We start from the raw sequence: 13,199 nt of genomic DNA, 5'->3' as shown, positions 1-13,199 counted from the left end.
ACAGTATCCCTGTACAGAGCAGTGTACTAACAATCCCAGTTAGTATTAATTACTCCTTTCAGTTTAAGAAGAAAATGAGAAGTGCTTAATAATCAATCTCAAGTTTATTAGGAGCTAAATTCCATTGGAGGTGAGAGGCAGTTTTGCAGTAAGAATGCCAGAGGAACACATTCACTGGCCCAGAGCATTGCTGAAATTAAAATCATTAGATAACAAGCAACGTATGAGGACTTAGCCAACTAGATGACTAACTGGCTGAAATCAGCTTAAAAAAAAAAATTCCACACCTGTCAATAGTTATCACCACTAAAATAGTACATATAGTGAAGAAAAAAAGCTTTAACTTTCTGTCCAGTCAAATCTAAGTGTATCACACTCAATTTTCCTTCCTTAGTAATCTAAATAATTTCCCACCTTGCTCATGATGAATGTTTTGCCAGCACCTACTCAGTTCCTCCACTTTACATGACCTAATTAAAGAAAACATTTCATGATTGCCTATTTTTTCTCATGCATGACAACCTATTATTTTTCCTACCACCTGATTAGGGCTTTATTATCCTTGGATTTAGATTGATTTGCTGAGCACTTTAATAAAACACTACTTAGTTTGATTTAAAGGACTACAGGTTTCCTTCATTCATACAATTATTTATATAACCATCGTACATTCTAAATACAGTCCCTCCGAAAAGCAGTTTTAGATTGCCACCAAACAAGCTTATAAAATAAGAATCACAGGTGACTTTTCTGTTGAATATGGGAATGTGAGTTCCATTGTGGGCAGTCATGAGAGGACATTTTGCAATATAATTTGTCAAGAGTGATAAATCTATTTCATCATATCTGTCAGGGATGGCTCCTGTGTATTAAAACTACTATAAAGTTTGCTCAAGATAAACTAAAAGTTTCATATGATTAAATAATCATAAATTTATGATGACAAATTACATTTACTGTGTTATCTACAACCCGAGCCAAAATTAGATAGGGTTCAAATGGATGATGATGCATTTTGATTTCCTATCTAGTGAATTTTTATTAAATAAATGAGATGTGCAACATTTATAAAACTGTCTTTTATTTTGGACCTTTTACTAGAAAGTTGTATCTTGTCAAAAATAAAGGAGCACACATATACACATTGAATTACTAATTAAATGAGTTGGCCAGTAGAAAAGTAAAGAAAGTTATTTAAATATTAACTGGAGAACACGTGATGCTTGGTAGACGCTGAGCCATCACAGATGAGAAGAAATTCCAGTCCTAAGAAAGAAGCATAAGTCTCACCCTTCAGTGGTGAGAGACAGGTGGTGTTCAGTGGTAGATAGCCCAGTGAGCCCCACTGGAGTCCAGGGATTAAAGAAATATCGACAGAAGGTTCAGTTATACATAATCTGATCAGACATTCAATTCATTATTTATTTATTAAGTGCATGCTATGTGCAAGGTTTAGAACAAAATTCTTTCCATGATTTTAAAGAATCTCAAGGGATTTGAAAGCTCACTGGGGTGACTGAGTTCATCTGTTAAAAAGAATTTAAAGGGTCCAAGCTTGGAATATGCCTATTGGTTTTCAGGCACCTCAATAATACCAACTCTTTGACTTTAGGATTCTTATCTGAGGGAAATCAAAGAATGTGGATGTAAAGTGGCATTTGGTCAAATGGGAGTTTCTGTGAATTTCAACATCACTCAAAAACACACACACACACGTTGTCCATAATCTTGTTAGAATTGAGAGTTGTTCCAATGTGGTAGCATTTGTTCATCACATCAGGACATTTCTTAAAGTTTACTTATTTTGATTGACAAAAATGGTGTATATATTTATGAAATAAAACATGTTTTGAAATATGTATAGAAATGGCTTACATCAAACTAATTAACATGTGCATTATCTCACATACATCATTTTTTTGTGGTGAGAACAAAATGTCCTCAGTGATTTTCAATGCTAAATATATTATAATTAACTAACATCTCTTGAATTTTATTCCTCCTATTGAACTGAAATTTTGTATATGTTAACCAATGTCCCCTGACACACCATCAGTCCCTGGAAACCACTACTCTACTCTATGCTTCTTTCAGTTGGACTTTTTTAGATTCCACATATAAGTGAGATAATGGGATAGGTATCATTCTGTGACTGGCTTAATTCACTTAACATAATGTCCTCCAGGTTCATTTATGCTGTCACAAATGACAAGATTTCCTTCATTTTAAGGCTGACTAGTATTCCATTGTGAATATACGCCACATTTTCTTTATCCATTTATCCATTGATAGCCACTTAGGTTGATTGCATATCTTGGCTATTATAAATAACGCTGCAATGAATGTGGGAGTGCAGATATCTCTTTGACATTGTGATTTCATATTCTTTGGTTATGTGATTGCAGTGGGATTGCTGGGTCATTAGGCAGCGCTATTTTTAATTTTATGAGGAAACTCCACATTGTTTCCATAATGGCTGTACTAATTTACATTGCTGCCAGGAGTGTACATCCTTGCCAACACTTGTTAGCTTTCATCCTTTATATTTTTATTTTTATTTCTTTTTTTAATTTTACTTCAAGTTCTAGAATACATGTATAGAATGTGCAGGTTTGTTACATAGGTATACACATGCCATGATGGTTTGTTGCACCCATCAACCCATCATCTACATTAGGTATTTCTACTAATACTATCCCTCACCTAGCCCCTTACCCCCTGACGGGCCCCAGTGTGTGATGTTCCCTTCTCTGTGTTCATGCGTTCTCATTGTTCAACTCCAACTTATGAATGAGAACATGAGGTGTTTGGTTTTCTGTTCCTGTGTAAGTTTGCTGAGAATGATGGCTTCCAGCTTCATCTATGTCCCTGCAAAGGACACGAACTCATCCTTTTTTATTGCTGCATAGTATTCCATGGTGTACATGTGCCACATTTTCTTTATCCATTCTATCATTGATGGGCATTTGGGTTGGTTCCAAGTCTTTGCTATTGATACCAGTGCTACAATAAACATATGTGTGCATGTGTCTTTATGGCAAAATGATTTATAATCCTCTGGGTATATACCCAGCAATGGGATTGCTGGGTCAAATGGTATTTCTGGTTCTAGATCCTTGAGGAATTGCCACACTGTCTTCCAAAATGGTTGAACTAATTTATACTCCCACCAAAAGTATAAAAGCATTCCCGTTTCTCCACATCCTCTCCAGCATCTGTTGTTTCCTGACTTTTTAATGATAGCCATTCTAACTGGCATGAGATGGTATCTCATTGTGGTTTTGATTTGCATTTCTCTAATGACCAGTGATGATGAGCTTCTTTTCATATGTTTGCTGGTGCATAAATGTCTTTTTTTGAGAAGTGTCTGTTCATATCCTTCGCCCACTTTTGGATGGGGTTGTTTGTATTTTTCTTGTAAATTTGTTTAAGTTCTTTGTACATTCTGGATATTAGCTCTTTGTCAGCTGGATAAATTGCAAAAATTTTCTCCCATTCTGTAGGTTGCCTTTTCACTCTGATGATAGTTTCTTTTGATATGCAGAAGTGCTTTAGTTTAATTAGATCCTATTTGTCAATTTTGGCTATTGTTGTCATTGCTTTTCGTGTTTTAGTTATGAAGACTTTGCCCATGCCTATGTCCTGAATGGTATTGCCTAGGTTTTCTTCTAGGGTTTTTATGGTTTTAGGTCTTAGTTTAAGTCTTTAATCCATCTTGAGTTAATTTTTGTATACGGTGTAAGGAAGGGGTCAAGTTTCTGTTTTCCGCATATGGCTAGCCAGTTTTCCCAACACCATTTATTAAATAGGGAGTCCTTTCCCCATTGCTTGTTTTTGTCAGGTTTGTCACAGATCAGATGGTCGTAGATGTGTGGCATTATTTCTGAGGCCTCTGTTCTGTTCCATTGGTCTAGATATCTGTTTTGGTACCAGTATCAAGCTGTTTTGGTTACTGTAGCCTTGTAGTATAGTTTGAAGTCAGGTAGCGTGATGCCTCCAGCTTTGTTCTTTTTGCTTAGGATTGTCTTGGCTATACAGGCTCTTCTTTGGTTCCACATGAAATTTAAAGTAGTTTTTCCTAATTCTGTGAAGAAAGTCAATGGTAGCTTGATGGGGATAGCATTGAATCTGCAAATAACTTTGGGCAGTGTTGCCATTTTCAAGATATTCATTCTTCCTATACATGAGCATGGAATGTTTTTCCATTTGTACCCTCTCTTATTTCCTTGAGCAGTGGTTTATGGTTCTCCTTGAAGAGGTCCTTCACATCCCTTGTAAGTTGCATTCCTAGGTATTTTATTCTCTTTGTAGCAATTGTGAATGGGAGTTCACTCATGATTTCACTCTCTATTTGTCTGTTACTGGTGTATAGGAATGCTTCTAATATTTGCACATTGATTTTGAATCCTGAGACTGTTGGAGTTGCTTATCAGCTTCAGGAGATTTGGGGCTGAGACGATGGGGTTTTCTAAATATACAATCATGTCAATCCAAGCAGAGACACTTTGACTTCCTCTCTTCCTATTTGAATACCCTTTCTTTCTTTCTCTTGCCTGAATGCCCTGGCCAGAACTTCCAATAATGTGTTGAATATGAGTGGTGAAAGAGGGCATCCTTGTCTTGTGCTGGTTTTCAAAGACAATGCTTCCAGCTTTTGCCCATTTTGTATGATATTGGCTGTGTGTTTGTCATACGTAGCTCTTATTATTTTGAGATACGGTCCACCAATACCTAGTTTATTGAGAGGTTTTAACATGAAGGGCTGTTGAATTTTGTTGAAGGCCTTTTCTGCATCTGTTGAGATAATCATGTGGTTTTTGTCATTGGTCCTGTTTATGTGATGGATTATGTCTATTGATTTGCATATGTTGAACCAGACTTACATCCCAGGGATGAAGCTGACTTGATCATGGTGGTTAAGCTTTTTGATGTGCTGCTGGATTCTGTTTGCCAGTATTTTATTGAGGATTTTTGGATTGATGTTCATAAGGGATATTGACGTGAAATTTTCTTTTTTGTTGTGTCTCTGCCAGGTTTTGGTATCAGGATGATGCTGGCCTCATAAAATGTGTTAGGGAGGAGTTCCTCTTTTTCTGTCATTTGTAATAGTTTAAGAAGGAATGGTACCAGCTCCTCTTTATACCTCTTGAAGAATTCAGCTATGAATCTATCTGCTCCTAGGCTTTTTTTGGTTGGTAGACTATCAATTACTGCCTCAATTTCAGAACTTGTTATTGCTCTATTCAGGGATTTGACTTCTTCCTGGTTTAGTCTTGGCAGGGTGTATGTGTCTAGGAATTTATCCATTTCTTCTAGATTTTCTAGTTTATTTGCATAGAGGTGTTTATAGTATTCTCTGATGGCAATTTGTATTTCTGTGGGATCAGTCGTGATATCCCCTTTATCGTTTTTAATTGTGTCTATTTGATTCTTCTTTCTTTTCTTCTTTATTAGTCTTACTAGTGGTTTATCTGTTTTGTTAATTTTTTCTAAAACCAGCTCCTGGATTCATTTTTGAAGGGTTTTTCATATGTCTATCTCCTTCAGTTTCACTCTGATCTTAGTTATTTCTTGTCTTCTGCTAGTTTTTGGATTTGTTTGCTCTTGCTTCTCTAGTTCTTTTAATTGTGATGTTAGGGTGTCATTTTTAGATCTTTCCTACTTTCTCCTGTGGGCATTTAGTGCTATAAATTTCCCTCTAAACACTGCTTTAGCTGTGTCGCAGAGATTCTGGTACATTTTGTCTTTGTTCTCTTTGGTTTTAAAGAACTAATTTATTTCTACCTTCATTTCGTTATTTACCTCCTCAAGTGCATATACCTTATTTAGTAGATGGCCACTCAACCTTGAAGGTGTTGTTATTGAGCTGGTACCTTAGCTCACCTCCCAACAAGCAATTTCCCCATTATATCAGGGCAGCTGTGTACACAGAACAATAAATTTCATGATTATTATGTTATAATATACTTTTGTGGTTATAGGAGTCCTACAGTGATATATGTGACACCATGACAATGGATTGGGCCCTTGAATGGTGCTGGCAGAGACATTTGAGCAAGGAAGATTGAACCTTAAACAGGCCACTCTGTATTCTATTACTCTTTGTTCTATCAGGCAGCTGCTTCTGGTTATGAAATACATACTCAGGAGAGAGGGAAATAACTACAGGGTGTGTCTGAGAACCCTATAAATCAGTAAGATATGAACTCCATCCAACACTCATGTAGACTGCCGTAACAGGAAGACTCTAACAGTGTTTCAGTCCCTCTTGTATTAATTTCATCTCAGATCCCACATCTAACAGTCCTTAAAAGACTAGATATCCCCTTTTCTATAGCGCATGGCTACACTTGTAAATAGGCTCAGATTCCTTGGGAAAGCATCATAGTGCTGTACTTACCCTATATCCTGCATTTGCTTTGCAGAATCACCTCAGTGGGAATCCGAACTTCTTTTTAATTAGTGAGCTCAGAATCTGAGACCTGTCTTAAATTTGGAAACTTGATAAAGTGAGACTTCTCTTTATCAGCTCTTCTATTATTATTATTAAGCAAATTCTGGTTAATTGTCCATCTATCTTTCCCTTCATAACACGATGATATATTAGTAATCATCATAGATCTCTGTAGGTCAAACTCTGCTGATTGCTTTATGCAATTGTTGTCTTCTAAGATTTTTTATCTACCTCTGATTGTTGTTTAAATTTTTCTATCTGATCTCCAGTCTTCTGAAATTCTATATTCCAATTTGATGGTGACATTTTCTGCTATCATCTCTGGACTGGGGATAAATGATAGCCATCATCAAATTTCTCAAACATGTCAGTGTTTCTCCTCATACATACAATTTTTTGGTGCCCAAAATAAGGCAGTGTTCTCTGGATCCCTGGGGAGAAATAGTAAGGTTGTGAATTATCAGGGCCTTACTTAATAAGTGGCTTCTCATCTTTTACCTCTTGGTTCACAAATTGCATATTTGCTGCCTCACAGCAGTCTTCTCTGACAAACTGTATATGAAGAATGCTTTTCTATTGCTTCTTTATTATATTGACCTATTTATTCTTTCAACATGGCTAATGAGACTCTGGAAATTATATTTTGTTGATTATTTGAATACTTAGCCACTAGATTGTGAACATTTCAGTGACAGGAACAGTTCCTATCTTCTATTCTGCCACATCTTTGGCTCTTAGAAACTCAAAAACATTCTTATTGCAGAAAAAATGTTTTGTTTTTCCATTTAATGGTCTCTAGAAAGCTGCTACACCTTCTTATGTGTAGCAAGTGCTTTGATAGTAGTAGGTATCAAAATGTCTGGGAGGGGCTTAGTAAATGATACCAATTCTTCTGAATCACAGATTATTACCCAACAAAACATCACATTTATGTATATTAATAAAAGGTATTTTTAAGAGTGGAGAAATTCTACAAGAATTTTGGGAACATTTAACAAAGCAAAATATACATTTTGGGTGTACCAGAAGGAGCAGAGAAAGATAAATGGGCACAAATAAATATTTTTTAAATAAATAATGGCAGAAAACTTTTCATCTCTGGAGAGAGGGAAATGAACGTTCAGATCCATAAAGAAAAAATAACCCCAAATGAATTAAATATAAAGAGATCTTTAACAAGACATAATCAGTTTCTCAAAATTCAACAGAGAATTTTGTAATAAGAAAGGAAAAGCAACTTGTCACATACAAAGAAATTTTTATAAGACTATCAGTAAATTTCTCAGCAGGAACCTTGTAGGCCAGGAGACAGTAGGATGATATGTTCAAAGTACTGAAAGATAAAAAAAAACTGCCAACCAAGAATATTATACCTGGCAAGGCTGTCCTACAGAAATTAAGAAAAGATAAGGGCTTCCCCAGACATACAACAGCTGTGGGAGTTCATTGCCCCTAGTCCTGCCTTACAAGAAATGCTAAAGAAATTTCTTCAATTGAAATAAAAAGATGCTAAGAACATGAAAACCTGACCCAAAGTATAAAATTCAGTGTGCAGGTAAAAATATAGAGAAATTCAGAATATTCTAATTTTTAATTCTAACAAGACAGTTAAAAGGTAAAAGTATATGAATAAAGTGAAGCTACATGATTTGGTAATGAACACTCAAGATTTGGTAATGGATGTAAGTTGTGGCATTAGTAACATAAAATGTGGGGAGAAGGGAAGTTGAAATGTAGTTTTTTAAAATTTGGTTGAAGTTAAGTTGTTATCAGCTAAAAAATAGACTGTTATAAATATAGGATACTCTATGTAAGCCTCACAGTAACCACAAAGAAAAAACCTGTAATAGATACGCAAAAGATAAAGAAAAAGGAATTAAAGCATATGACTACAAAAATTATCAAAACACAAAGGAAGAAAACAAGACAGGAAGAGTTAAAGGACATATGAAACAGGTAACAACAAAATAACTGTAGTAAGTCCTTATCTATCAATAATTACTTTAAATGTAAATAAATTATATTCTCCAATCAAACAACACAGAGTGGCTGAATAGATAAAGAAACAATTTCTAACGATATGCTGCCTCGAGGAACTTTCTTTAGCTTTAAGGACACACATAGGCAGAATGTGAATTGTGATGATTGGAAAGGATACTTGATATAATTTCAGTCTTCTTAGATTTGCTAAGACTTGTTTTGTAGCCTAACATATAATCTATTCTGAAGAATGTGGTTGAGAAAAAAGTATATTCTGTTGCTGTTTGATGGAATGTTCTAGATCCTTTTAGTGTATAGCATTGTTCAAATGACAAATATGTGGATATACACAACATGCTCTTGAAAAACCAATGTGTCAAAGAAAAAATCAAAAAAGAAATTTTAAAAAATAGTGTCAGTTAAACGAAAATGGAAATACAGCATACCAAATTTTATGGGATGCAGCAAAAGCAGTTCTAGAAAAGAAGTTTATATAAACAAGTGCCTATCAAAAAAGAAGAAAGATCTTAAATAACTTAATGTTATACCACAATGAACTAGAAAAGTAACAAAGTCTATTGTTAATAGAAGAAAGAAATTAGTAAGTATCAGAGCATAGACAATGAAATAGAGACTAGAAAACCAAGAGAAAATATCAACAAAATAAAGAATTGTGTTTTTTTGACAAGATAAACAAAATCAACAAACTTTAGCTAGACTAAGAAAAACAGAGAAGAAAGACTCAAAGAAAGAAAATCAGGAATAAAAGGGGAAACATTACAACTGATACCACAGAAATACAAATAATTATGTAAGACTACTATAAATAATTTTTTACCAACAAATTGGATAACCTAGAAGAAATGAATAAATTCCTAGAAACATAAAACTTACCAAGACCAAATTATGAAGAAATAAAAAAATCTGGACAGGCCAATAATGAGTAAGGAGATCGCATCAGTTTAAAACAGTTTCTTATTAAAGAAAAGCCCAGATCTATGGCTTCACTGCTGTATTCCTACAAACATTTAAGAGGAACAAATAAATATTAATCCTTTAAAAAGTTTTTTTTTTAAATATTGAAGAGGAGAGCATACTTCCAAATCCATTTAATGCAGATAGTATTATCCTGATACCAAAGTCAAACAAGAAAACTACAAGAAAAGAGCATCACAAGCCAATATCCCTGAAAAACATAGATGTAAAAATCTTCAGCAAAATACTAACAAATAAAATGGACCATTCAACATCATGAAGTGGAATTTAGTCCTGGTGTGCAATGATAGTTCAATGTATGCAAATTAATAAATGTGATACACCATGTTAAAGAATGAAAAACAAAAACCATGTGCTCATCTCAACAGATGCAGAAAAAGCACTGGGCAAAATTAAACATCCTTTAATGATAAAAACTCTCAGCAAATTAGGTATAGAAGAAATGTAGTTCAACACCATAAAGCCATATATAACAATCCTTCAGCTAACTTGATACTCAATAAAACAAATTGAAAGCTTTTTCTCTAAGATCAGGAACAAGACAAGTTTGTCTACTTTCACAACTTCTATTAAATATAGTACTAGACATCTTAGCCAGAACAATTAGGCAAAAAAAAAAAAAAGAAAAAAAAAAGAAATGAAAGGCATTTAAATTGGAAAAGAAGTTAAATTATCCCTATTTGCAAAGAAATAATTTTATATGTAGAAAACCCAAAAGACTCCACCAAAAAAAAAAAAACTATTAGAACTAATAAATTCAGTAAAGGTTCAGAATACAAAACTAACATACAAAAATCAGTAGCATTCTTATACACTAACCATGACAAATCCGAAAAGGAAATTAAAAAAAAAAACTCATTTACAATTGCTATTTAAAAAGCAGCCAAAAAACTTAGGAATCAATTTAACAAAAGGGGTGAAAGATCTGTACAATGAAATTTATAAAATATTGATAAAAGAAATTGAAGGCACAAATAAATGGAAAGATATCCTGTGTTCACGGATTTAAAAAATCAATATTGTTAAAATGTCCATACTACCCAAGTGATCTACAGATTCAATGTAATCCCTATCAAAATGCCAATGACATTTTTTACTGAAATAGAAAAATAAAATCCTGAAAGTTTTATGGTATTATGAAAGAATTCAAATAGCCAAAGCAATATTGGGGTATGGGGGATGGTCATGGAAACAAAGCTAGAGGTATCACACTATCTAACTTCAAATTCTTCTACAAAGTAATTGTAATCAAACACCATAATAGTGGACTAAAAACAGGCACATAAACCAATGGAACAGAATGGAGAGCCTGAAATATATCCACATTTATGGTCAATTGATTTTTCACAAAGCTGCCAAGAGCACGCAATGGGGAAAAGAGTTTCTTCAATAAATGTATTGGAAATACTGGATGTCCATATACAGAAAAATTAGATTTTTATTTCATACCAAATAAAAATATCACCTCAATATTGATTAAAGATTTAAACATAAGACCTGAACTATAAAAGTACTAGAAGAAAACATAAGGGAAAAGCCCCATGACATGGATCTGGGAAATTACTTTTTGAATATGACCTCAAAAGCACAACAAAAGCAAAAATAGGCAAGTAGAATTATAACAAACTATAAAGCTTCTGCACAGCAAAGGAAATCATCAACAGAGCGAAGAGACAGTCTATTAAATGTGGAAAAATATTTGTAAACAATGCATCTGATAAGAGGTTAATATCCAATATATACATTAAACAACTCGATAGCAAGGAAACAAATAATCCTATTGAAAAACGAGCAAAGGACTGGAATAGAGATACAAAATGGCCAACAGGTATATGAAAAAATGTGCATATTACTAATCGTCAGGGAAATGCAAATAAAAACCACAGTGAAATATCACTTTATACCTTTTAAAATGGCTATTATAAAAAAGACAAAAGCTAATAATTTTCGTTGAGGATGTGGAGAAAAGGGAACTCATGCCCATGTTGGCAAGAATGTAAACCAGCATAGCCATTATGGAAAACAATATGTAAGTTCCTCAAAAAATTAAAAATAAAGCTGTCATATGATCCAGCAATCCCACTACTGGGTATATATCCACAGTATATGAAATCACTATGTCAAAGAGATAACTACACTCCTATGTTCATTGAAACATTATTCACCATAGCCCTGATATACAAGCAACCTAATTGTCCAACAATAGATGAATGAATAAAGAAAACGTGGTATATATACACAATGGAATACTAGTCAGCCTTAAAATGAAGGAAATCTTGTCATTTGGATGAACCTAGAGGTCATTATGTTAAGTAAAATAAGCCAGGCACAGAAAGATAAACACTACCTTATCTCATGTATATGGGGTATCTAAAAAATCCATCTGAGAGAAGCCGAGTAGAATGGTGGTTGCCAGGACACAGGGTAGAGGAAAGTGAGGGATTTGGGGAAATGTTGGCTAAAGGGTACAAGGTTTTAGTTAGGATGAATACATTCTAGAAGTCTATTGAACTACATTGTCACTATTGTTAATAATATTGTATTACTATTGATTAAAGATTAAATCTCAAATGTTCTTACCACAAAAAATGTCATGTGTGTGATGTGCTGAATATGTTAATTAGCCCAATTTAATCCTTTCACATGAATATTTATATCAAAACATCACCTTGAGCATTACATATATACAATGTTATTTGTCATTATACCTTAATACAGCTGAAAAAAAATGTTTAAAATGTTCTGTCTTCGAACATTATAGAAATGCTTGCAAAGTTACAGATAAATAAAATTTATTATTTAATAAAATAAAATCAATTTTATTTCTCATTTATATTTGAGTTTTTATTGTTACTAAATTGAACACATTTTATGATGTTAAAAAGCAGGGGCTGAATTGACTATCTTTTATTCTAAATACTTCTATGGTACATATCATGGTATACAATTAAAGAAAACATCCACATCTAAATTTTGTGAAGGAATCAAATAGCAATATTTGATGACATCAAGTATTTTATGTGTTGGCCTTAGACAGCATTAAAAATTTGTGTTTCTTTTAAAATTTGTTTATAGACTATATGGTCTCTTTTTTGTTAATTGCTTTAATCCTTTCAGATGAATATTTCATATCATACTTATATTATGATACATATATATCATATACGCAAACATTTATATAATGTTTGCAAGATAGAACATTAAAGAAAACTTTTTCCAGCTTTATTAAGGTATAATTGACAAATAAAATTGTATATATGTAATGCTCAAAGTGACGTTTTGACATAAATATTCATGTAAAAGGATTCAATAGTCTTTTCTTAATTCAAACTTACAAAAAATGTATGCTCTTAAAGGGGGATGAGGAAAGAAGAAGAGATCATAACCCAATAAAAGTTCTGAAGTGAGAATTCTGACATTGTATGCTATTCAGAAAACTTGTATTGATCCACTTGATACACTCAAGTTCATCCTAGAAATTCAATTCTTACACAAGAAAGCCCATTGTCTAGGAGACATCCCAATGGAATAGGAACTTTTAGAAAAGATTTAACAAAATGCTTTCTTTTCCTATAGCAGAAATAACAATCTCCCTAGAGGAATAAGCTTGTTGTAATTTAGAACTATTTTTAAATCTTATCCAATATTCAAATAGTTTTCATCTTTCCCCCTCCCTGCCTAGGAATTCCATTGCTAAGAAGGTGAGTCAATACATATATATATTCCTCACTTTGAATGGAAAATGTTAAATTACTAATTTTCAATAAAT

The sequence above is a fragment of the Homo sapiens genome, chromosome 2, assembly GCF_000001405.40.
Source record: "Homo sapiens chromosome 2, GRCh38.p14 Primary Assembly".
Taxonomy (NCBI): Eukaryota; Metazoa; Chordata; class Mammalia; order Primates; family Hominidae; genus Homo; species Homo sapiens.
This window is presented reverse-complemented; position numbering follows the sequence as displayed.